Source organism: Homo sapiens, chromosome 12 (assembly GCF_000001405.40).
Source record: "Homo sapiens chromosome 12, GRCh38.p14 Primary Assembly".
Classification (NCBI taxonomy): domain Eukaryota; kingdom Metazoa; phylum Chordata; class Mammalia; order Primates; family Hominidae; genus Homo; species Homo sapiens.
The window spans coordinates 89,247,188-89,274,960 of NC_000012.12; the positions used below are offsets into that span (position 1 = coordinate 89,247,188).

The 27,773-nt window shown below is 38.2% G+C and overlaps 4 annotated features.

Annotated features, from left to right (window-relative positions):
- Nucleotides 241-842: an enhancer, noted in NCBI's record as "OCT4-NANOG hESC enhancer chr12:89641205-89641806 (GRCh37/hg19 assembly coordinates)". NCBI's record gives its function as "activates a minimal SCP1, AML or CMV promoter by ChIP-STARR-seq in primed H9 embryonic stem cells {active_cell/tissue: H9 hESC(primed)}" and the evidence as "EXISTENCE:reporter gene assay evidence [ECO:0000049][PMID:30033119]".
- Nucleotides 3,131-3,331: a silencer, noted in NCBI's record as "peak1874 fragment used in MPRA reporter construct". NCBI's record gives its function as "represses an SCP1 promoter by STARR-seq MPRAs in K562 erythroleukemia cells {active_cell/tissue: K562}" and the evidence as "EXISTENCE:reporter gene assay evidence [ECO:0000049][PMID:32103011]".
- Nucleotides 14,831-15,031: a silencer, noted in NCBI's record as "peak1877 fragment used in MPRA reporter construct". NCBI's record gives its function as "represses an SCP1 promoter by STARR-seq MPRAs in K562 erythroleukemia cells {active_cell/tissue: K562}" and the evidence as "EXISTENCE:reporter gene assay evidence [ECO:0000049][PMID:32103011]".
- Nucleotides 16,811-17,011: a silencer, noted in NCBI's record as "peak1878 fragment used in MPRA reporter construct". NCBI's record gives its function as "represses an SCP1 promoter by STARR-seq MPRAs in K562 erythroleukemia cells {active_cell/tissue: K562}" and the evidence as "EXISTENCE:reporter gene assay evidence [ECO:0000049][PMID:32103011]".

A 27,773-nucleotide genomic window follows, 5' to 3' on the forward strand; every position in this document is an offset into this window, starting at 1 on the left:
TATCTATATCTGTATTGAATTGGCCCAGGAACCGGGTTCTGGGTTCTCCTTCAATAAAGATTTCACATGACGCTTACATATTTATTCACGTTTTCTATATCACGTAAAAGATATTAGCAAGAGTGTTACACGAGATTCTTATTTTGAAACTTGTCAGTTCAGATACATTTTACATTTTATATTCAAATTTAAGATCAAACTAGTATATGGTAGTAATTTTTGCATGTTTATACCAAGATTTCCTCATTTCTGCTGCATAGAACTCCACTTAAAAATCATTTAAAAAGCAGGAGAATTAGCTCTCATTGATCCAAACCTGGATTTACACGTCAGCTCCCTCTGGATATGAAGAATGTGAAAGAAACTCAAATACCCTGAAAGTATTTTGAAGTTGCTTTTGCTGATGTGATCTATGATGGTAGACCAGTTTGGCAACCCTGAATTGTTTTTACTGCAGCTGTGGACTACCTGTGGTTTCAAATGAACTACTGTGTGTGCTTTGTTTATTTTATCCCTTCTTCCTGTTGGAAAAACAGCTGGAGAACAGACATCCTGCTGTTCAGAGCCTCCGGCCTTGGAATATTAACAGGAAGCCACAATAAGCATCTTCATTACTTCACCTGTGGCATAAATGGCAGGGAGAATGGAGCCCATCAGGAGGAACTTATTTAAAACAGAATGAAGCAGTTTGTGGACCATATGTCTGCACATCCAAGTAACAGCCACTAGCCTAATAAATTGGATTCTTTCGTGCAGTGTTCAACCGGGGGAGGAGAAAAAGTCAGTGTCCTATATAAAAGAGTAAAGGCAGGCTTCAGTAGCCTTTGGCAATAAATGGAATACAATATTTGGCGCATTAAACCAAGAAGTAGTATCACATGATTTATATCAGGTGCTTTTAGCAAAATATATGGGAGTAGATAGTAGGGGTATGTGGATGGGAGAGGAGGAAGCTAATAGTCTTACAAGATACTTTCATGTGTTTTCCATTATGCATAATTACTCATCCTAAGGCAAGAGGATTATTGCATAAGCATTATTCCAAATAGCTTCCCATTTTAGGGGGAGAGGGAGGGGTGACTGGAGAGAGGACAAATAATTATAAAAGATCAATGTCCCTGTTCTCCAAATGAGGAGACGGGGCTAGAGAGGTATTATGACCTACCTAAGACTCTTTATGTAATGTCTACATTATAATGGGCCAGATATATTCCTGGAAGTGCATTTACCTGCTGAAGATTCATCTTCCCCTCTATAGAATGAAGCTGTGAAAAAAAAATATTCTGGAAAAAGTATTTCCCCTTTAAACGTAAAAATGAGCTACTGAACAGAAGGACAAAAGAAAGGAATAATAATCTTGACAGTCATCATTGAATACACACTGGAACCCTCGTTCTGACTGCACCTATATGCCGACAGGGCACTTCGTTTCTTAGATCCTTGCATGCATTCACTCTACCAACTCTGCAAAACACACTTAGAAAAAGAATGCGGCAGCACAAACACAGACACGATTTTTTTAAATCACAGTCCCCAGAACCGGGATTTTGGAAATCCATTATACCAATAATCACTACTAGCCCATAAAGCAGACAGACTTGGGTTCAAATCTCAAGCATCCCACTTTCAGATATGTGAACTTGGATAAATTATTGTATGCTTTGGAATATAAGGAATTCTTCTATTTTCCCAAGGAGAAGATTAAAAACTGTTTTTTCACCAACTGGAACTATATAAACTTTTAGAAATAGAGATAAAATAATCAAAAGTCTAATAATTTATTAATTTAGTCATAGATATTTAAAATCATGTAAAATATCAATTTAGAAATTTTTGTCACCCTCACATTTCATAAAAGTTTTCTTCTAATTCTTTTTTTTTCTAATTCTTAATACACGCCATTGACATTAGTGTCACCTGACAGTCTTCACAAATCATCTTCATTTTCACATGGGTTGTTTAATGCTGTCATCAGAAATTTTATCCTCTTGGAGAAAGAAAATGTGGTACATACACACCATGGAATACTCTGCAGCCATAAAAGAGAACAAAATCATGTCCTTTGCAGCAACATGGATGCAGCGGGAAGCCATTATCCTAAGCAAACTAACACAGGAACAGAAAACCAAATACCACATGTTCTCACTTATAAGTAGGAGCTAAACATTGGGTAATCATGGACATAAAGATGGGAACAATAGATCCTGGGGACTACTACAGGGAGGAGGGAGGTAGGGGTAAAGGACTGAAAAACTACCTATTGGGTACTATGCTCGCTACCTGGGTGATAGGATCGATCATACCCCAAACCTCAGCATCAGGCAATATACCCATAACAAACCTGTACACATACCTCCTGAATCTAATATAAAAGTTGAAATTATTTTTTTAAAGTATTATAAAAAAGAAATTTTATTCTGAACCATGAGCACCCATTCATATAACATTAAGACAATTGTTTTGTTCATTTGTCCTGTAGGTGGAAGTTTGTGCTGTTGTATCCACTTAGTGTAATATGATAACTAATATATTGCTTCATATATTAAATATATAAAATCCTCTTTTTAAAGGCTGTTTATGATGACATCCAATTCTTGCAATTGTAGAGTCACCACTCCACTCCCAAGAATAATGAATAAATCTGTCAAATTTCTAAATTTCTTTTCTTTTCTTTTTTTTTTTTTTTATAGACAGAGTCTCACTCTGTCACCCAGGCTGGAGTGCAGTGGCACAATCTCAGCTCACTGCAACTTCCACCACCCAGGTTCAAGTAATTTTCCTGTCTCAGCTTCCCAAATAGCTGGGATTACAGGCATGCACCACCATGCCCAGCTAATTTTTGTATTTTTCCTACAGAAGAGACTTCACTATGTTGTCCAGGCTGGTCTCGAGCTCCTGACCTCAAGTGATCCGCTTGCCTCACCCTCCCAAAGTGTTGGAATTACAGGCGTGAGCCACCACACCCAGCCTTGTCAAATTTCCTTGCCTCCTTTTTTAGAGTTTCTGCGGGTCACTTCTATAAGCTTTTGAGAACAGAATCATCTGAGGTCATCTCAGCCTTATGTGGTTTTAAGAAGTTGAATACATGCCCCATAATTTGAGAGACTTTATAAAGATTGAACTGCAATATAAGGTGACCCCTTCATTCCTGGGAAATAGGTTTGGAACCTGTCTCATCTTATTCTTTAGCACATACAGCACTTAATCTCTCTAAGCGTCTGTTTCCTCTGTTATAAAACAGAGCTAATAATAGCACTTTGCTTACAGAATGTGGTGAGGATTAAATGAGACAACACACTACAATGACACTCAGCACAGTGGTGTGCACCTAGAAAGTAATCAATATTATCTATTGACACTGCCCCAGTTTGGGGTACCACAAATTAAAAATGAAAAACTTGAAGACGTATGTCCAAGACAACTCACAAAGATTTAAAATGAAGCAGATGAGGACAGGTTAAAGGAACTTGGATTATTATTCCAAAGAGGGAAAAAGGAGTAATGTGACAAATTAGTTTCTAAAAGAGAAAGAACTCTTAAACAAAGACTAATAGCATTTCTGCTCTTCTTCACTCAGCAAGACAGCCATGGTATGAATCTGAATTACAGCACAAAGGACTTATGTCATATAGAAGGAAGAGTTTCTATTCAGTAAAGTTTATGAAAAAAAAATTGAATCACTTTCTGATAGAGCCTGTGACTCACTTTTAAAATGAGGGGTCATCTTGGTACAGTTCTGCCTAAAGGCAATGTTATTGGAGGAATGACTTTTCAAGGTCCCAAATTATCCATATATCTCTGCACATCAAGATGAACTACTATATGAAATTAAAGTATAGGAATGTAATGCCAGTAATAGAGCATGAAAACCAGAGTGGGGTTGAAGACCAAAAAGATGGCATATTTTGCTGAGTTCCTTGGGTATCAAGCAAATTTAGTTTTTATTGTCCCCGTTCAGGGGATTATTTTACTTCCAAAAATTGCCACCACTGTTAGAAAAAGCATAAACCTTGGAACTACAACGACCCAAGTGCAAGTTTCAGCTTTTCTTCTTACTGTGTTACCTTGAACAGGTCTTTAAACTCTCTGCTAGTGTGTTTCATCATCTGCCAACAATGCATAAAAACATCAATGTTACAGGGCTGTAGTGAGGATTAAATGAGATGGCTCCGTTCAGTATTTGGCACACTACGGATATTCTAAATGTTGATCCTGTTGTCTCCCAAATTGTGCTTCCAAACATACTACAGTTTTCAGAAGCCTAAGTTATCACATTGCATTGTCAGCTGACACTCTTACAACTACCGAAGGTTTATCCCTCAGTACCTAACAAAACCACATCACAGCTTGCTTTATTTTCAGGCAACAAATTCTCCAAAGACAGAACTGGATGGGGGTGAACAAACTTCTGCCAAGTATGTGACAGTTTTATAAAGTTTCTCATTCAGTAGTTGTGCTAAGAACGGCTCTGTCATTTAGACATACTCTTGAAGGGAACTGCATTCTTTATCAAAGAATTTCCTTATAGTTTCAACAAACATCTCCACAGCTTCTACTTGATTCAGGAATGAATTTGGAATGGTTTAAAACACACTAGCAAGGTACATTAATTAGGACAAGGTTTAGTAACATAACAGAAAGATTCAAAATACAATGACGAGACAGAAATCATTTCTTTCTCACATAACTGCTCAGAGGTAAGTGGTGCTAGGCTGACAGGACAGCATTGTCATTCTCAAGATAAGGCTTTCATCTCTGGGTTCTAGGCAACTCCAGTGAGAAAGGGAAGAAAGAGTCATTGAGCACGCCATATGCCTTTCTAGGAGCACAACCCATAAGAGTCACCATACTTCAGATCACAAACCCAAATTTAGTCACAAGGCCACACAGCTACTAGGAAGACTGGGAAATACAGAGTCATGCTGGGAAACCATGTGCTCAGCAAAAACTCAGGAAGAAGGTGATAAGAATATGTGGGCATGACCATAAACAGTATCTGCTTCACAGAATTAAAGAGGGAAACTTATCTAAATGGTCTAACTTTATATTGAAAGACCATTTAAGATTGGAAAGTGCAAACAATATACCGTTTAATCTGAGAGTTGATGTAGTAGTTATGAATCAAACACAAGGTATAAAGACCCTAGCAACATAAATTGAGGCAGTAAGTACAAACCTTCATATTTATACAACAGAAACTTGAGTCATCGACTCTTGCTGAGGCCAAGCTACATGTGGGAAAATCTGAATGTGCTGACCCAGAAAAGAGTTGGAGTAGAGCTGTGTTGGATTAATGACAGCACTTAGCCTCAATGTTTTAAAAATTCAGAAGTTATGGGGAGGGCCCCCTGAACAAGCCTGAGCTAGCCTGGAGAACTCCAAAAGAAGAAAGAGCCCCACTCTGACGCAGAGTTTATGGTTTATAAAACACCAGATCAGATGAAGTGACAACACCACCCGCCTCCCCGCCACATTTGACTGTGAGAAAATATCTCTGGGGCCAAATAATAATAATTCCTGTTTGCAGTCAAGAATGAGTTTACCAGATGCCATTTTGCAAATCTTTTTCAACCTATTTGAGAGACTTTAATATGTTGCTTTTTTCATTGTCTGAGCTTCATATATATTTTACTTCTGCAGGAAATCTAGAATATTTTATCATTAAGTACTCATTCACTAAGCTAATAGAGTTTGTCCTAATCTCATGAATGTTTTTATTAACAATTGTTCTGTTCCTTGACTATACATCTGGGAAGAACCTCCACACTTCGCAAAGCAGAGAGAGTTTTCTGTGTTTTTCCCAGTAAGAACAAGAGAATACACCAGAATCTCCAGATCCTAAAAGAATAAAAAGGAAACCACCAAAACACAAGCAAACCAAAGATCAGTCCCAATCACTTGTTTAAAACTGATACAACTGAGGAAGAATATCCCTTGTACTGCTTGACAGAGGAACTGGGGAAATTTGCTGTGAAATTAAAATAAACACATCACTGCCAGTTTTGAAAATTCTTGAGGTGGGGGAGGGGGAGACCTTCATTTTCTGATGGAGTAAATCCTAGACTAAGAAGCCAGAAAATTCGCTTCAGATCCCAGATCAGCCAATAGCTAACTACACGGACTTAGGCAAATTCCATAATGTCTTTGGACTTCAAGTTTCTTACTTGTAAAATTAGGAAGTTGAGAGATATTATTTCTAAGATCTTTTCTAATTTAAAGAGTCAATGAGTTTATGAAACTACTGCTTACTGAGATTTCTTAAAAACTCCAACATCACAAATATCACAGAATCATATTAATTTTGTTTTTATTTTACACCCAAATTTAGTAAATGATCAATTCTCCTCAACAATTGCAGGAAAATAAAGATTCTGAAGACATCTTGTAAAGTTAAATTTGGTAAAGGAAAAAGTAACCTGTCTTCGAAAGAGCCCTCTATATAACCTTTAAAAGAGATGCATGTGTCACTTTATTGATTTTTTGTGCCAAAAGGGTATTTGGATAAGGTGGCTGTTCCCTCCAAACTTGGATTATTTATGATTCATATCCTGCTGCCAGTAAAATGTTTATAGCAGATGATCTCCCCATTAATGTTAGTTTCAAAGGATTAAAGCTAATTATGGCTTTATTACACTTATGCTAACTTAAATTTGCTCCAGAATGACATGACAATGAACCCCTGACTCCAATCTCATCTCCCCCAGCATCAACCCATCAATCTTCCACAGAGACACCAGGGCTTTTCCTGAAACAGAGGTAATAAAGTGTGCCAGCAACTCCATAAGCTTCATTTCATGCCATAAAAGCTATGTCATCCCAGTTCACTTTTCCATGGCTTTGCAAGAGATGTATTCAATATCTAGAATGTCAGAACCAAGTCCTTTTTGTGGCTATAAAAAAAATAGTGCAAATATTTAGTAGTCCCCCATCTCTAGAAAAATACAGTCTCTATTAGTCTGTTCTCATGCTGCTGATAAAGACATACCCAAGACTGGGTCATTTATAAAGAAAAGAGGTTTAATTGACTCACAGTTCCACATGCCTGGGGAGGCCTCACAATCATGGTGGAAGGTGAAGGGGAAGCAAGACATGTCTTACATTGCAGCAGGCAAGAGAGAGTGTGCACAGGAACTGCCCTTTCATAAAACCATCAGATCTTGTGAGACTTATTCACTATCACGAGAACAGAAAAACACGTACCCATGATTCAATTACCTCCCACTGGTTCCCTCCCACGAGACGTGGGGATTATTACAATTCAAGGTGAGATTTGGGTGGGGACACAGAGCCAAACCATATCATAGTCCTAGAGGACCGAACCAGAAAGTGGAAGGAAATTTTGTCCAAAGAAAAAGGTACCACCTCCTCTGGGGAGAAGCAGACCTGTTTCAGCATATAGGTTGAATTTTCAGCAAAAACTGTGCAGTTGTTCTAAGTAGCCTGGGCTTTTCCCTCCCTTTCCAACCTCCCCATCTTCTTATTGCCTGCCATGCAGACCCTGATCGTCTTTAAGGATTGACTAAAATCTCACCTTCACTGCCTACTCCACCTCCTCCATGGAGACAGAAGTTTTCTCCCCTATGAACCCATAGAATCCCATCCCTGCCTCTGTATCCCACTCTATCATCAATGAATCACCACTGAATTCCTCAATCCCCTCATGTCAGGACTACTGGTTTGTTTATCATTTCACCCCCATAAACCATAACTTCCTTAAGTTGCCTAAGACAAGATATGTTCACTTTAAGTTCTTAGAAAATGCCTGTTTAAAGAAAAGTTGATCTTGTTGGTGTCAAAGTAGTTCCAGTACTTAAAATCCATACAACCAAAAGTCTAAGAGTAGTATCAAATGTTGGCTCATGTTCTGAATATATCTATTATGCACAGCCATGTCTCTTCTCAAAAAAAGATGGTGGATTAATCATTTATCTCATTTTTTTAATTGAGATGTGTATTAAGCCATTCTTGCATTACTATAAAGGAATACCCCAGACTGGGTAATTGATAAAGAAAAAGGTTTAATTGGCTTATGGTTCGGCAGGCTGCACCAAAAGCTGAGTGGTATCTGCTTTGGTGAAGGCCTCAGGAAGCTTACAGCCATGGCAGAAGGTGAAGAAGCAGCAGGTGCATCACATGGCAAGAGAGGGAGTAAGAGAGAGAGTGAGGAGGTACCATGCACATATCTAATATGAACTCACTCATCACCAAGGGGACGGTGCTAAGCCATTGATGAGGGATCCATCTTCATAATCCTCATAATCCAAATACCTCCCACCAGGCCCCACCTCCAGTACTGGGGATTACATTTCAACATGAGATTTAGAGTGGACCAATATCCAAACCCTATCAAGATGAAAGTTTTATTCACATGTTTGTGATCCCAGGTACTCAGGAGGCTAAAGTGGGAGGATCGCTTGAGCCCCGAAGATTAAGGCTGCCGTGAGCCATGATCATGACACTGCACTCCAGCCTAGGAGGCAGAGCAAGACCCTGTCTCAAGAAAATAAAAAGTGTTTAAGTACAACAATATATAAAATAATTGATTTTCAAATGTTTTATATATCTCTCTGTAAATTTCCCTGCTCCCACACCTTCAAAATCTTACTCTTTTTTCACAAAACATAAATCAGCTCCAGTCTAAAACAAAGAACTAATCCTTATTCACTAATAAAAATGTACTGCTTTAACACAAGAACAGAAGTTCCCTATTTCCAGAGATTAGCAATCTAAATGGATACAAATCACCTGCTATAATTTAGTGAGGGCCAAGGCATGTACCAATATTCTAAGTAGTAAGGCCTAACTTCTGTGTTTCTCAACTTTGACACCAATGATGCTTTGGGCCAGATAATTCTTTATTTAGAGGAGTCATCCTGTGCACTGTGGGCTGTTTAGCAGTCTCCCTGGCCTCTACCCACTTGACTCCAGTAGCATCCCCCTAGTTGTAGCAGTCAAAAATGTCTCCAGACATTGTCAAATACCCCCGGGAAGCAAAATTTCTCCTAGTTGAGAACCACTGCTCTCAACATACACAGATGGTAGATATAACAAGCTTTAGAACCAGTCAGACCAGTAGCAAATATCAGCTCCATCACTTAAGAGCTATGTGATCTTGAGCAAATTACTTAATCTCTCTGATCTTTAGTGTCTTGATCTGTAAAATGGTACTAATAAGACCCATTTTCAGGATTCTTGTGAAGTTTAAGTGAAAAAATGTACATAAAGTGCTTAGCATAGTACCTTGTAAATTATAAGCACTTAATAGCTAATATTTATTTTTGTTTGTTATTATTATACATTAAATATTAATTTGCTGGATTTAAAACACCACAAAATATACCCTAGGATAATGCTGAATATAATTTGATTTTTAAAGAGTTCAGAACTACTTCAGACTCTGCCTATTCCTTAACAGCCACATAGTGAACATCAATAGCTAGTGGTATTTTTGTTTGTTTGTTTGTTTGTTTGTTTGTTTGTTTTTTAGACAGAGTCTTGCTCTGTTGCCTAGGCTCTGGAGGGCAGTAGCTCAATCTCGGCTCACTGCAACCTCCACTTCCCGGGTTCAAGCAATTCTCCTGCCTCAGCCTTCTGAGCAGCTGGGACTACAGGCACGTGCCACACACCCAGCTACTTTTTGTATTTTTAGTAGAGACGGGGTTTCACCATGTTGGCCAGAATAGTCTCGATCTCTTGACTTCGTGATCCGCCTGCCTCAGCCTCCCAAAGTGCTGTGATTACAGGCGTGAGCCACTGCGCCTGGCCAATAGCTAGTGTTCTATAGCTAAGGAAAGTGTGCAAAAGTTTTAGGCAGCAGAATTAGAGGAAGCAAATTTTTCTACTTGTAGGAAAGACTCTTGTTATCCTCCAATATCTAGTCTCCCTTCTTCCATGATGATAAGAATCTCCAAAATTTATCAACCCCAAATAAATCATATTTCCCAGGCTCCCTCCCTCCCATTGTGACCAAGTTGTGATCAATAGGATGTAAGCAGAACTTGTAGGTACAACTTCTGATATGCGTCCTTAAAGGAAGAAGGTCTGCTCCTTCTCCCCCTTTATCCATCCTGCTGTTTGAAATATGGATGTGTTGGCTGGGATACCAGTTGGAACCATGCCAGTAAAAACCATACCCTAGACATGGTGAAGAGGAAAGTTGGAAGCAGCCTGGATCCCAAATATATGTAGTATGGCACTGCCATTATCAGCTCTGAATGGCCTACATCGTGACTTCAAAGTGAGAGAGAAAGAAAACTTCTATCTTGTTTAAGCCACTGTTATTTTGAATCTCTGCTAGTCATAGCCAAACAGATTGAATGTGTAACACTGGCTAAAAAGCGTGAGATCAAGCAGCAAGCATACAGACGCTGCAGGCCAGCCAGCTGAAGCCCCATATTATGAGATAGCACATTTGATAAAATTGTTTCCTGTTCGATCCAGCCAACCCAACCTATAGCTCTAAGCTGCATGGTTTAAAAATTCAAAATGTTGGTTCTCACCCAACATTGCCTAACCGGCTCTCAAACATGTTTTGTTTGTTTGTTTTGTTGTTTTTAAATATAAGTAGACAGTTTATTTGGACCAAGCTTTAGAATTGCAACCCATGAGCACAGACTCAAGTTTTCATTCTTGCCTTGCACTTAAAGAATTATGAAAAAAATTAGCTCCAGCCAGAGCTAACCAGTTGCAGAAATGGTGGATACACTCTTGCCCAGGGTTTTCAATCTAAGTTGTTAGACAAGCCTATTAAATTTGGGGCCTTTTAAGAATAGCAATGCTAACTGGTCCTGTCTGTACTCACCCTGAACCCTGTGTAAAGAGAATGGTAGACTTAGCAGGCAATAAATCCTATTTTCAGCCTTCATCATAGGGGAGTTTTCTACCAGACAATGGGAACCAGTCTAGCAGCAAAAATCATATTCAAGGTGTTGCCTTCCCATCTAAGCCTATTTTCTAGATAACCAGAAGGAGTGGTGTTATGGGTTGAATTGTGTTCTCCCAAAATTCATGTTGATGTCCTAACCCCTATATCTCAGAATGTGACTGAATTTGGAGACAGAATCTTCAAAAAGGTAATTAAGTGAAAACAAGGTCATTAGGGCAGGCTCTAGTCCAACATGACTGATGTTTTTATAAGAAGAGGAGATTAGGACACAGATACACGCAGAGGGAGGACAGTATGAAGACACAGGAAGAAAATGGCCATCTACAAGGAAGGAAAGAGGTCTCAGCAGAAATAAACCCTGCTGACACCTTGATCTTGGACTTCCAGCCTCCAGAACTATGAGGAAATAAATTTGTGTTGTCTGAGCCAAGTCTGTGATCCTTTCTTACGGCAGCCCCAGAAAACTCATACAGGTAGGCAGAATGGTAAACAGAGCACAGGGGTCAAAAAGTGAAAACAAGAGTCTTTAGTTTTAAAAAACCATGTGGAAATGAGTCCTTAGGTTTTGCTTGCTCAAATGAGTACCAACCAGAAACAAATAGACCAGATACTTACTAATTTGGGGAGGGAATTGCATTGTCAGAGAAACCACAAGCCTGTCCTGATAAAGATTGTGATCACTCAAGCCCTAAAACGAACCCGGAAACCCAGATCCTCCACTTCCAGAAAGGAGGCTGAGAAAGAAGGCAAAATGTCCAAGGCCTGCTTCAGATGTGATCAGAGAGGATAATGGAAGAAGACAGCTTCTCCCAGCATAGAGCCAAGAGCTTCCAGATGCACCAAGCCCGAGAATTTACTTCTTCACCAGGACCAGGCTTCTTCTCAATTCTGGTTCAACGATCTGAAAACTGCTACAGCTCAATTATTGGTAAGTATTTCGGTGCCTTTTCCCAAATGGGAGTTTTTGCAGCAGTTATTATGTTACAACTCCACTGAAGCGTATTGGATGAGATGGGGCCAGAAAATTATAGACCTGAAAGGAGCTCTACTCTGACCCAGTAGAAGAGACCAAGCATCACCCAGAGATCCTGGAATTAAAGGTCATTGCGATAACTAGATGGGATTTTGAGTTGTCTCCCCAGGAAAGGGGTGAGTGTATTTTAAGTGTGGGAAGAAGATACACATAGATATCTAGTTTTCCTCCTGGATCAACCATGGTAGAGATTATTGGATGTCTCTATTTGTTTTCCACTTTCTCCAAGAGCCCCACAATTTAGCTGGGTATGTGACTGCCAAAACAAAAGATATCTCCCAGCCTCCTCTGCTATAATATGGCCATTTAATTAAGCTCTGACCAATAGGATGTAAGCAGACATGATGTGTATAACTTCTGAGATGTGTTCTTAAAGGTAGGACACGTGTCCTTCTTCCCCATCTCCCTGTCCTGCTGCATAGAATTTGGATGTAAGGGCTAATGACCCATCCATGAGGATAAGGGTCATGTACCTAGTTCACCAACCTTGGTAAAATGGAAAGTTGGAAGCAACTTGTTCTGGAAGACTGGGAAGCCATCATTTCAGCCTCTATTTCTATGCCTTTATATGAGAGAAAAATAAATATATGTCTTGTATAAGCCAGTGATATTTTGAGGTCACCATTATTCACAACAGAACCTGTAGTACAACTAATAGATTGATAGATCGATCTTCTATGTTTCCTTTCAGGTCTACAGACCCAAAAGTAATTTCAAAAATTAAGAATAATGGTAGAAAACTGTCCTATGATTCTTAATTCTAATTCCTCTGATCCTTTGAGGAAATGTGTCACTTTTATTCTGCCGTATGTGTATAGCAAATGAGGCTGAGAAAGCCAAAGGAGACAAAGTGGAAGTTGAAGTCAAAAACAGAAGAGATGTACAGAATCTCGCTAAATAATCTGCCAGACCTGGTGACTCACCTCCCTGGATACTGTTCTCATACTGAGTCAAAAGGAAAGATGTTGATAAAGATGGAAAAGAAATTCGGATATGCATCCTGAAATGGACTATGCTAATTTTCCCAATTATCCAGGTCCATCTTTAACCATAAGTGATTTCAAAGTGAAATGATGACTTTCATAAAATTTTCATTTGGTTCTGAGATAAAGGAAAGGGAAATGGAAAATCATCTGAAAAGTGTTGCTTGGTGCATAACGCTTACCAAGGGGGACTATGGTTCTCATCCACACAATTCCTATTTCTATTAATGAGAGTTGTGGATAAAACCCTAGCCAGTATCTTCTATCTTTTAGCTTCCACAATGCTTAGAAAACTGTCTTGGGGATATCACAGAGATTGTTACAGCAGATAACATGTCCATTCATCCATATTAGACTTTCATAATCGTTTTCATGGACCCCATTAGCCAGAGCATTTCAAGAGACATATTATTTTGCCCAGTCATTTGGTAATAGTAACCACATAAATCAATGACTTTTTGGGAATAAAGCCGTGGAGTTACAAGTAGAGAGAAGAGAAGCATGAATTCCTTTAAGAAGAAATTACATGAATTAAATCAGAAGTCACTGCAATGGCCCAAATAACCATACTTCTTATTCTAGCCTGCGACATTTACCACAATACTTTTTGCCCCTAGCTGCAAGGCTGGTTATAGCCTTATTTAAATCCTTTACACATTATAATTCTCCACTAAGTGGGATAAAGAGCACATGGTCTCAGTCACCTGCTAAACATATGACATGAGGTGCAAATTCATTTATTTGAACCATAATATTAAAGGACCTTCTTGAATTTAAATCATCTGATACCAGGTTATGACTTCAACCCCAAGCAGACATGCCCTGGAGAGTTAAGAGACATTTTCAAAGTTTCAAAGACAAAGAAGGCTTCTAACCTGCTCACAGTTAGCCATTACATGCTACCAAGGACTGTTTAATTGGGACTGCCACTCTCAATTAGCCAGTGACAAGTGAATATAAGAGTGAAGAACCAAAATTAGGTACACATGTTACCAATTATTTCCATTAGGGATTATAATGAAATTGTACATTTTGCTTTGGTTTTTCTTTCTTCTCTAGCTCTAACAAGTTATATAAATTAAACTAGTGAGGGAGCAGAGCTTATAGATAACTTTGTCCTTCAAAGTGAGAAAGAACCACATTCATGGAAACTCCTGCAGCTCTTCAACTATGATATTCCATTCTGACCTCAGCATTTGCTCTACAGTGGAGCTTATCCAAATTTCATCTGAGGGCCTCAAGCATAACCAGATGAGGCTCTTTGTGATCCAAACATAGGGTTACTCCTCTTTTCTTCCCCTCTTGTTTACTAAAAAGCAAGAGTATTCAGTTTCTCTTTATGATTCACTAGGTTTCTGACTGGTAGTCCTTCAAAGAGTATTTTACTGGGGTGATAGAAGGGGAAAGGAGGGAAGGGCTGTATACAGTGATGATGCACTAAGCTAAAAAAAACCTTCAGCTTAGATATGCATTTGGAGCTGGTTTAAATAGCCATCCCCCAGAATTGCACTTCAAATTTGAATTTTCTGGTCCTGACAGCTTTAAAATTTATATTTAAATTTGTGTGTTTAAAGATATATATTTAAATGTACATATATATTTAAATATAGATTATTTTTAAATTTTTGGAATGTGCCAAGCACTTTATATAAATTGAGCATGAATTAAAGATAGATTTTAAAGAAAATGTATACCTGAATGTGACTTAATTACCATTAAATATTAACCTGTTTCCTATTTTCATTTGTAGTAAAAAAGAACTGCAAGAATCCAGATATATTTGGAAACTGTAATTTTTTTCATTGTAAACATCATCCAACTTTTTTAGAATCCATTGAAACAATCATCTTACTGTGGTTGTGCTTCTGGTAGGTTGACAGGTTACAAGACACTAAGGGAGTCTGTATGACTTTAAACTCTTCCACAGATCAGGGTAATACTATAATACGCAGCTGATTCTAAAGTTAAATCACTTCCCATGACAGGAACTTCTTACACCTGTCAAAAGCGTGAAGAATTTGAGTCTCCCAGTTATGGGTGGGGTCGAATCAAGTCATGCCTTTTCTCAAGCACAGAAACAGGAGTCTGAAAACTTTTTCTGTAAGAGCCAGGATAGTACGACTGCTGCTACAACTACTCAACTCTGCCACCATTGTAGTGAAAGCAGCCACAGGCAAAAATGTTACACCATTTGTGTAAACAAATGGATGTGGCTGTACTCCAGTAAAACTTTATTTACTAACACAGACTACAGGCTATATTTGGCTCTTGGGGTCATAGTTTGCCAATCCCTGTTTTAGCTTCCAAGCCTCTGATTCTTTTAGCCTTCCATTTCACCTTCCCAGAAAATAAAGAGACTTTGATGTTAAAGAACATGAGTTTAGAATAGAAGGAAATGATTTAGAATCATTTGGGGAACTTGACAAAAATATTGATTCATAGGCCCTACCCTCAAATTTTCATTTAGTAAATCTTACGTGGGTCCCAGAAATGTGAATTTTCTTAAAGCTCCCCCAGTGATTCTGATTCTAAGTCAGCTTTGTGATTCTCTGTTCTAGATAATGGCCCCAGCTTCTGCCATAACTTTATAACATTAGGAATATCACCTTTTATATTAGTCAGCGTAATTAATGCTAGCTGCTGCAACAGCAAGCCCCAAATATCAGTAGCTTAGCCTAGTAAAAATGTATTTCTGTCCCATATCACCTTCTCTTATTTCATACCTATGCCATATAGAACTCTTGGAAAAAAGAAATAGAGAAGGAACTAGAGGTTTTAGATGTCCTAGCACAAAAGCAACACACATGGTACTTCTGCTCACATTTCACCAGCCTAATGAAAACCGTTCATATGGTTTCAACCTAACTGCAAGGGAGGCTGGGGAAAGGAAAGGAGCACAATACCATCAATATTTGGTGAGCTCAAACAGATCACCTGACATGTTTGTATCTGACTCCTCATCTGCCAATCTGGGATAGCATCTGCCTCCTTTAGACCACACAGAAAGAGCAGATGTTCAAAACATGGTTGACCACTAATTAAACTCTGAACAATAGACAGCTTAATGCCCAAAACTATTCCTTATACCTAGCTTTTTGCAAAAATTAGGTTCCTGAAACTCTGGAATGTAATAAATTTGTGTTAATCAAATTAGGTCTTTTTTTAATTAACAAGAAATTCATTATGCAAAACTGGGGCTGTTGTTCTATCTGGCTTCTACAATGGATACACACTGATAGGTGTGTTGACAAAAGGAAACCGCAATTAGCAGATGTATAAATTGTCCTTATGTTTGCAGTTACAAAGGTTGAATGTTGGTCTTAGTAATACTGTGTGCATCCTTGATACACTGCAGTGGAAGATTAAGAAGAAATGTAGAAATTGCCAGTTCCAATCTAGCAGCCAGAGCAGCCAATTCCCAGTTCTCAGAGATGGGGGGAAATACCTGAATGGGAGGCAACTTCTTAACTATTTAGAGACATAGATATCATTTCAAAAGTTATCACCCTTTTTTAAAAAATCAAGGTAGGGGATGAGGAGACGCCCTCCACCAAAAATAAAAAATAATGTTATAGTGTTGTAGATCCTTAAGCTCTTAAGAGAGACAATAGGGATTTCTGCTAAAGTAGGACAGATTTCTGTTAGAAGTTTTTTAAAAATTTCTCAATATTTAGGAAGGTTTTCGTTCCCCACACAGAAACTAAGATAGCATATGAAACTTGACCGAGGAAGGTTTAGGGCTTTGGGAGGAAGAACTAATGAAGTACTTATGAAAATCACAATTTCATTTACCAATGATGACATGGTCTAGAATTGCCCACATACATGATCTGCTTATTCAAGGTCAAAATAAATGCTAATCAATAAAAGGTATTGTCCTCCAGGGCACAGCACTTAGCATAACCTGTGATCTTAAATACTACACAAGAATGGTTTTCTTTAACAGACCTGAGTGTTATAACCAAGTAAACTTGCTACGTAAGTCCTGCCTCTTAACCTTTCATCTCAGGGCCTGTATCTGAGACCTTTGTTTATTAACCTGATAACTCTCCCGCCACAGTTTATCTTGCAAGTGATAGAGCAGTCTCAATATTTCCTAGTAACCAGCCATTTCGGAGAAAGCACAAAACGTTTGTTCAGCCAACATGGTAGTGTCTGGCTGTCTGGCCATCTCCAAGGGGATCTTGGCTTATGTACAACTATAGATATGACAAAGCTGTCTATAATAATTTTAACTGTTGGATGCATTATCTCAATGCTGAAAACCCCTTCATAATTGTACAAACACATAAAACCTGGCAAATAAACTACCTTTTTAAATATAGTGGAATTATCTCTTATCCATTCACCACGGAACTAAATGTAACAAATAACTGTTATAGCACCACAGCATACAACCAGTGGCTTCCTCAGAAACTTCAATCCAATACCTTTTAAAGAAAATAAAACAAGATTTCTAGAGTATTAAACTGGAAGAATATATTTATTCATGTGGTAAGAGTGGTGTTGGGAGGAAGAAAAGGGTTGTACCTTCTTTAGAATACTACATGTCTATAGACTCGGAATCTCATCATTACCAAAAGCTTATATACAAGATTTATTTCCAATAGAAAACAGGTCAATAGCCTTCCCATAGATAAGGACTTGAAACTGTGAGCAATTATCTAATAAAAGCTTTTAAACTAAATTGCTAATTAAGGTGAATTTAATATGCATATCAGGCAGGAATGAGGAGCGTGTAATTTATGTATCACAAAGCCTAGAACAAGTATATTACAATTCAGTAGTTTAGAGATATTATTTTTTGATTAAAGTATATTACAAACAAATGCCCTTTCCCCTGATTTCAAGATCAACAGGAAGACATTGAGATTTTACCACTTTCTTAAGGCCATTGGTTTCATAAGTTACAGAAATTTAGAGCAGAAGTGATCTTAAGGGATTATCTAAAAACTGCTTCATTTTACAGATGAAGAAAGTGATGCCCAGAAAGGTTAAAGAACTTGTGCAAAGAACAAAATCCAGGCAAGACTTCTCTGGGCTCTACTCTTACATCCTCCATTTTCCAGCTGCACATAAATAGCAAAGGTTGGTTTTCCACATAAGCTTTGGGGAACTGTAACTAGAAAGATATTTGAATGATAGGCATTCATAAGCACTCCTAAAGGAAGCAAGAATTGTTAGCTTTGAAATAACACAACCGCTGTTCTCAAGTGCTGAATGACAACTTTTTGCTCATCTGTTAAAATTTAGTTGCTGTAGGCCGGGCGCAGTGGCTTACGCCTGTATTCCCAGCACTTTGGGAGGCCAAGGCAGGTGGATCACGAGGTCAGGGGTTCAAGACCAGCCTGGCCAAGATAGTGAAACTCCTTGTCTACTAAAAATGCCAAAAAAAATTATCCAGGTGTGGTGGCAGGCCTCTGTAACCTCAGCTACTTGAGAGGCTGAGGCAGAGAATTGCTTGAACCCGGGAGGCAGAGGTTGCAGTGAGCCGAGATCATGCCACTGCACTCCAGCCTGGGTGACAGAGCGAGACTCCATCTCAAAAAAAAAAAAAAAATGTAGTTGCTGTAAAAATAACAAACATTTTTCACTTGTCCCTAACTCATCTTGTTAACAGTGACAAATGACTCATTGAGAAATGACTTTTAACAGCTTCCAATTGCCTGATGAATTTTTATAACTGCCTTTTACTGGGTCAAGGAGCAGCCATGTGTAACCCTTTGGGGCCATTATTGGGTACAAACTCTGTGGCAATCGCACTTGCTATATCATTCATTCAGTTGATAAGCCAGAGGGATCAAAGTTAACATGCTCACACTTAGTACACCTCATCCCCCGAAGGAAAGAGAAATGCCTGCCCTTGGCTTCAATGAAAAACACGTAAGAGAACATGTAGGTGGATAGGAACAACATTAGCAATACTATAGCACAATCCCAAGAGCATGACAAGAGGCCCCTTGCACTATTATATCCATATACAAAAGTCCACATATATATTTCTAAAGAAAGGTACAAAATAGAATCCTTTGCATCGTAATACTTTAGAGCTCAGACAAAAATCCACTTCTCCTGATATCTATTCTAATGTTCTCTCCTTTATACTCATAGATCATAATGACTCATTAAAACTTCCAGCAAGCTTGTGTGTTAAAATAATCTTTTTTTTTTTTTTTTTGAGACAAGAGTCCCCCACTGTCACCCAGGCTGGAGTGCAGTGGTGCGATCTCAGCTCATTGCAACCTCCGCCTCCCGGGTTCAAGTGATTCTCCTGTCTCAGCCTCCCCAGTAGCTGGGATTATAGGCACATGCCATGCTACCCTGCCTGACTAATTTTTGTATTTTTAGCAGAGATGGGGTTTCACCATGTTGACCAGGCTGGTCTTGATCTCTTGACCTCAAGTGATTTGTCTGCCTCGGCCTCCCGAAGTGCTGGGATTGCAAGCGTGATCCACCACACCCGACCTAAAATAATCTTATGTGATGGCAACTTTTAGATTCCTAATTGTAGGTATTCTAATCTAATTCTAATCTATTCTTTTTTTGTTTTGTTTTTTTGAGACGGAGTCTTGCTTTGTCATCCAGGCTGGAGTGCAATGGCGCGATCTCTGCTCACTGCAACTTCCGCCTCCCGGGTTCAAGCGATTCTCTTGCCTCAGCCTTCCAAGTGGCTGGGATTACAGGCACCTGCCACCACGCCCGGTTACTTTTTGTATTTTTAGTAGAGACAGGGTTTCACTGTGTTGGCCAGGCTGGTCTCGAACTCCTGACCTCGTGATCCACCCGCCTTGGCCTCCCAAAGTGCTGGGATTACAGGCGTGAGACACCGCGCCTGGCCAATGCTAATCTATTCTTAAAGATTCTCTTTGTGAAAAGAACTATTGTGGCTTACTACTATAACTTCTCCTTTTTTTCTCTTCACTAAAAAACTAATTTAAAACGGAGTGACTAATTTATTGCTGTGCTCAATTGTGTTAATAATGCCTGAACTAAAATAAAAATTGCTTTGTCAGGGTGGAGGAAATATGAAAAAAATATTTTTAATTTTCTTTCATAACGTTTTAAAGTTGCTCTCATAATGATGAACTTTTGAAAAATTACTTATGCTCTCACTTTGAAAATTATTACAGGGTCTTTCTAAGGAAAAAGGAGGACCTGAATTTAAGAGTAACCTTGAGTTAAAAAGAAAAAGCAAAGTGATAAGATCAAAGGCAAAATTAGCCCTAAGGACTTCAGGTTCTCTGAAAAATTTGTTCTCTTCCCAAACATCAGTTAGAATAAAGCAGATGTACTGTTCTTTAGTCAGCCGGATACAATCAAAGCATTACCTTCTATATCAATGGAACAAGAATTTCCATAAATTATTAAGGACAGCCTATTTGGACTGAAGGTCAAAGACGCCCTTTTTAAAAGTATGTTTGCACTTCAGTTAGTACAGTTTTCTCTTTTTCATTTGCAGAAAGTAAGTGGTTAAAACTATAATGCTGAAGAAAAATGTCCTCCTGAGTCACAAAGCTAAGAATGTCTAGAGCCACTTCCGAATATAAGTTTTTTCTGGAGATTTATACCTCTGCTGATTCACAACTTCCCAAACACTGAGAGGATGAGGGGGGGAAAGGTAGCCGCCTCTTCCAGTTAACTATAAAATGTATTTTTTAAAAATCATATGGTCTTTAGAAATGTGAAAGCAGTTGGGCTCTTTATATTTACAGAAATTAAGATTTCCCCCACTTAAATATATTTTTATATGAGTTACTTATTGGGTAGGGGAAGATAGCACTGTGGAGGGAAGAGAATATTCCTTCTCATTTGATATTTTTAAGAATCACAAAGACAAACGGCAAACTAAGTTGCACAATGAAAGATCATCCCAACTGATGAGCTAAACTTACAAAGTGTGAACCAAAGAAATGAATGACAACTGGCAAAAAGATCCAACTGTGATGGACTCTTAGACACACAGACTAGTTACATGAATATAATGCTGTTTTCTTTACCAGCAACAATTTCTCTCAAGGATAAGAAAAAGGGAAACACACATTAACACAGGATCTGCTGTGCCAGAGGCTTTGCTGAGGTTTTACTGGACACCTTTAAACCTCAGTGTAAGCCTGCAATGGCTCCCATTTTATAAGGATAAGAAAGGCCCAAACAGAGATGAGGGTAACAACATGTACTAACTACCTACTACGTGCATTCATTCAACAAATATTAATTAATTGATGTATTCATTAAGTCCACCTGGAGTCAGGAAAATTAAAAAATATCCTGTTTCCTGAAAACTAAATTGACAAATCTAAAATGGCTTGGAGACATCAGGACAAAGGGAACACTAAACACCCATTTCAGTTTACCAGCGCTAGCAGCAGGGATGATTGACATGCACGGAATAGAGGACAATGATCTAATTGCTCAGAATCCATATGTTTGTGTGAAACCATCTAGCATTCTGCGCTGTCCAAGACAGTAATCGCTAGCAATATGTAGCAATTTAATTTAAACTTAAATTAGTTAAAAACTCAGGGAAGTTAAAACTTTAGTTCCTCGGTCACAGTAGCTACACATCAAGTGCTCAATAGCCACTTCAGACAAGTGGCTACTGTAATGGACAGTGCAGATATAGAACACACCACCATCACAGAATGTCCTATTGGATAGCACTGTTGGATTCTAAACATCCTAAATCAGATAAGGAATTTAACATATACTCTTGATTCAGAGGGCTTTTTTTTTAAAATACTACTTTACATTTATATAGCACTTCATGATTTTCCAAAGACTGAAAAGGAGTATTTATCTGATCCATGCTAAAATTATACTCCTACTATGGTGAAGGAACTTGGAATTTAGAGAAGTTATGTGACTGACAAGGTCATATATTAGTATCCAAGAGCAGAGAAGATAATCTCAGTCTCCTAGTTCAGCATTTTCAGAGCAGAGTGAAAATATAATCACTCAGAAGTCCAACACAGCTTTGAATCTCATCTTCAATACAGACCAGTTGTATGACGTGGAACAAGTATTTAGCATTCTGGGCTTCAGTTTCCTCATCTGAAAAACTGGGATGATAATGACAACTCCACAGAAAGTAATATTAACTACCAGATGGTATGAGCTTGGTATACTATCCAGGTGACTACCTTCGCCTGAACACTAAGCAGGATTTTTTTTTTAATCTTAATTTTCAAAAAAATTCAATGCTATTTTCTACAAATAGAATTAGCAGAAGTGGTTCAAAATTTAGGAAGCTGATTTTGAGTACATTGGCATTTCCAACTGTTATATATACTCTCCTCTCAGCTGCTATATTTGGGCTACCTCAGAATTGTTGTCAGAATTAAATGAGAATTTAAATAGCACATAAGATCTGACATGTAGATGTGTCCAATAAGTGCAAGTTCTCGCTTCACCTTCCTTCTCTACCCTAACGCCCTGTAAGTCTTCCTGGTGTGTACCTGCAGCACCACACAATTTAGGAAGCCTAGACTCTATCCTGCATGGATAAATGACTCAGCAAGCTTATTTACAGTGTGATGGTTTAACATACAACTTCCATAAGACTATATATTACATATTATAATAGAAAGCAGTAGGAAAATAACCTTAAGTATTCAGAAAATCACATTACGGGAAGCTTTAAGAATGTATTTATTCCATATATTGATTACTCAGCTAATAGAGAGGTATGTTCTAAAATATGTCTTCAGTTTTGCTTAGAAGATCTGAAGCAGACTTACCTTCTTAAGTATATTGGGTTAAAGAAACTAAACTTAATCTACATACTCTAGGTCAATGATTTATAATTTTAGGTCAGCTCTGAATTTTTTGAGCAGCTGTATTTTAACTACTTTAGTTTTTACAAAATGTATTTGTACTATACCGATCCACAAAAGAGTCCTGAAACAAAGAAATGATGACAGACTAGTCTACCCTCAAAGAGGTAGGTGCTTTAAGCATCTTCTGGTTGGTACTAAAACCATTTGGCCTCAGAATAGGCCAAAAGATGTGAATCTTAAAATACCTGGGAAAAATCTACCATGGATAGTCAACATTTATTTGTTCCTTAGAGCCAATAGAGGCTCTACATACACATTTCACTGGAATCTGATACCAATCCTCTAACGCCTAAAGTAGGGCAGGTGTTATTCTATTTTTCCAGGTGAGGAACTTGAGAGTTCAAGAGATGACATGATACAGATAATTATAAAACCAGGACTAGAATTCAGGAAGTTTGATTTCTCATCTGATGGCTTTTCTATTATCCAACCACCAAATTAAGTGAAGCTCTAATTAGAACAGGTCTAAACACAATAATGATATTTCATCTATTAAATCAAAACCAGTGTATAGAGAATGGCCACATGCACCAAACCACAGATGGCCAGTAAAGAGGAATCAGAAAAACCCATAGATATTAGACAGGCAGCAAGAGGGCATCAAATTGAATCAAGTTGTCTAGCTCCATACTTCTGAGCTCTGTGATTGCTTCTGTTTTCTTCTGCATTTTTATTAATAACAAGAAAGAGATATAGACAGAATGCACATTGAGTTTCAGATGGCACAAATTTGGAAGAAATGATGAGAATGCTGAGGAACAAATCAACGTTTAAAAAATTATCAGTCATCAACGGTAGATTGGATAAAGAAAATGTGGTACATATATGCCATGGAATACTACGCAGCCATAAAAAAGAATGAAATCATGTTCTTCATAGCAACATGAACACAGCTAGAGGCCATTATCCTAAGTGAATTAATAATGCAGTAACAAAAACCAAATACATATGTTCTCACATATGAGTGGAAGCTAATCACCGCATACACATGGACACACAGAGCAGAGCAATAGACACTGGAGACTTCTAGAGGGAGGAGGCTGGGGGCGGGGTGTGTGGGAAGAAAAACTACCTATCAGGTACTATGCTCGCTACCTGGGTGACAAGATCATCTGTACCCCAAACCTCAGCATCATACAATATACTCATGTAACAAATGTGCACTTGTATCCCCTGAATCTAAAATATAAGTTGAAATTATTTTTTTAAAGGTGCAGGAAAAAAAATTCTCAGTGAGCCATAGACCAAATCTAACAAAAGGAGAGTTTTAGTGAGATAAATATGAGACCCTCTGTGATGGACTGAATTATTGAATTATGTCCCCCCAAAATTCCTATGTTGAAGCCTTAACCCTCAGTACGTGAGTATTTGGAGATAGAACCTTTAAAGGGGTGATTAAGTTAAAATGAGGCCATTAGGGTGGGCCCTAATCCAAGCTGACTACTGTCCTTATAAGAAGAGGAATTTTAAAATTGTTTTATTTTTAATTATTATGGATATATAATAGTTGTGCATATTTATGGAGCATATGTGATATTCTGCTAGAAGCATTCTGCTGGAAGTGTAATGATCAAATCAGGGTAATGGGGATATCTATCACCTCAAGTATTTATCATTTCTTTGTATTAGGACGTTCCAATTCCACTCTTTTAGTTATTTTGAAATACACAACAAATTATTTTTAACTATAGTTACCCTATTGTGCTAATTGAACGTTAGATCTTATTCCTTCTATTTAACTGTATTTTTGTACCCATTAACTATCCCCTAAGAAGAGGAATTTGAACATACATGGAGACCCTAGGGATGTGCACACAGAAAAGAAAAACCACATAAGGACACAGCAAGAAGGCAGCCATCTGTAAGCCCAGCAGAAACCGACCATGCTGGCACCTTCATCAGAAGAAAGCAAGCCTGTTGACACCTTGATCTTAGACTTCCAGCCTCCAGAACTGTGAGAAAATAAATTTCTGTTGGGTAAGCCACCCAGACTGCTATTTTGTGATAGCAGCCCTGGCAAATTAATATGCCTGCATTTGGGAAACAAACAAACACAAAGCAAACAGAATACCTGTTGAGTGAATGATATCTTGCTCAACAATATGTGATGGCCAAGGAGAGGAAGAAGCTTCCGTAATAGTAAGCTCTATGTATGTTCATCATGTATTTAACTACCAAAAAAAAGTACAACACAGAATAATTTAGACAGGGTCTAATATTTGTAGCAGCAAGATCTCTGGTGCCAGACACAATGGTTTTACCAACCCTGTCATTTCCTAATTGTTTGATTTAGGCAGGTCATATCTCTCTGTGCCTCAGTGTCTTTGTCTATAAAATGGGAATGACATGTACTTCACAGGATGGTTGATAGGGCCCAAGAGGACCCAAGAGAGGACCCAAGGAGATAAGTGCTTAGCACAAAGCTTGGCATGGAGAAAAAAATAAACAAAAGCCACTTTTTTTTTCATTTTATTTTTAAGGTCAGGGGTACACACGCAGGTTTGTATATAGGTAAATTCATGTCATGGGGGTTTGCTGTACAGATTATTTCATCACCCACATATTAAGCCTAACCCATTAGTTATCCTTCCTGATCCTCTCTCTCCTGCCACCCTCCACCCTCTGGTAGGACCCTGTGTCTGTTGCTCCCCTCTATGTGTCTATGTGTTCTTATTATTTAGCTCCCACCTATAAGTGAGAATATGGGGCATTTGATTTTCTGTTCTTGCATTAGTTTACTAAGGATAATGGCCTCCAGCTCCATCCATGTTCCTGCAAAGGACATGATACTCTTTTTTATGGCTGCACAGTATTTCATGGTTTATATGTACCATATTTTCTTTATCCAGACTACCACTGATGGGCATTTAGGTTAATTCCATGTCTTTGCTATTGTGAACAGTGCTACAATGAACATATGTATGCATGTGTCTTTATGATAGAATGATTTATATTCCTTTGGGTATGTGCCCAGTAATGGGATTGCTGGGCCAGATAATATTTCCGTCTTTAAGTCTTTGAGGAGTCACCACACTGGTTGAACTAATTTACATTCTGGAGCATCAATGATATATAAGCATTACTTTTTCTCTGCAACCTCAATAGCACCTGTTATTTTTTGATTTTTTGATAATAGCCATTCTGATTGGTGAGAGATGATATCTTATTGTGGTTTTGATTTGCATTTCTCTAAAGATCAGTGGTGTTGGGTTTTCTTTCATATGCTTGTTGGCCACATGTATGTCTTCTCTTGAAAAGTGTCTGTTCATGTCCTTTGCCCACTTTTTAATGGGATTGTTTCTTTTTCTCTTGTAGATTTAAATTCCTTATAGATGCTGGATATTAGGCCTTTGTCAGATGCGTAGTTTGCAAATATTTTCTCCCATTGTGGAGGTTGTCTGTTTACTCTGTTGATAGTTTCTTTTAAGGTGCTGAAGCTCTTTAGTTTGATTAGACTCCATTTGTCCATTTTTGAAAAGCCACTCTTTTAAGTATTAGTATCATCCTTATCATAGGTTGAGAGTCTCACTCTACTTAGGGATGATCAGATCACATCTGAATATGGTATCAGTTTTGGTTCTTTAAACCCCTCTTTTAAAAAGTATAATGATAATAAAAATAACAGCAAATGCCATTTATTAGAGTGTCTGCACTGCATCAAGTGTTATATTTCACCTCTTTAATTAATCTTCACAACTTGCCTTAAACTGTGTGTAATTATCAACATTTTACAAATGAGAAAGAAAAACGAAACTGAAACACATAAATCCAGTAAGTGGTGGAGCTAGGATTCAAAGCTGGATGTGTCTGACTTCAAAGGACATTCTCTCCCCTTTCGTGCATGCTCAGAGTGATGAGACTTGAAACAATATCTAATAAGAAAAATGACAAGGGAATATCAAGAACACTCATAAGAACATAGCATTGTTTTTCAATGTTATAAAGCCTCTTACTAAGAAGATGAATCAGGATTTGTATGATAAGTATTAATAGAACCAAACCAAGGAGTAGAAGTTATATGGGGCAAGAGTACACTTCAACATAGAACGTTCTAGCAGAATAAGCAGAAGACAGAATAAGTATTCTTCTACTCTTTATGTCCATGGGTAGTGGAGTACTGGGGGTAGCGGGGGGGTGAGAATGGTTAATGGGTACAAAACAATAGAAAGAATGAATAAGACCTACTATTTGATAGCACAACAGGCTTACTATAGTCAAATAACTCAATTGTACATTTTTAAATAACTTAAAGCATATAATTAAATTATTTGTAACTCAAAGGATAAATGCTTGTGGGGATAGATACCTCATTCTCCATGATGTGCTTATTTCACATGGCATGCCTGTATCAAAACCTCTCATGTACCCCATAAATATGTACACCTACTATGTACCCCTCCAAAAATTTTTTTAATTAAAAAAAAAAAAAGATGGAAAAAGTTTCTTCAAGAATGGCCACATAACCACTTAGCAGGAATGTGGTAAAGTATCAGCCAAGTAGTTGTTAACAGGCGATGTTTGGGGTCCTTCTCAGACCTAATACAATCTCTAAAGCTATATCCATGCATCAAGGATACATAGGCAACAGGAATACTAAGAGAAGCAGAGGTCTAACAATTGGCAGTTATTGGGAGTCCTAGTAAAAAGTGACCAGCAAGAAAATGTACTGGATCACCAACTGCAGTGACTAAGATCTAGACTTCAGTCTCAGAAGAACTGGGGTTCCAGACAGGGAAAGAAAAAAGGCCACAACATGAGGGAGCATGGTCTCATTTCTGGTTGCTGAGCTACAAGTCTTAGGCAGAGTAAACAGAGTAAGGTCCTGTCTGAAGCAGGATGGCTCAGTGGCTCAAAGCAGTGAATGGTGTCGATTCAAATTTCTGTCTCACCACTGACCAGCTGTGTGTCTCTGGCCAGGTTATATTGTGAATGTTCACTAGATGTTGGTTCATATTATTATTATTTGTGAATATGGATATTGTCCCAGGATATGGGGCAAAACCAAGACTAAACACAGGTTACCTTTTTTCAGAAGA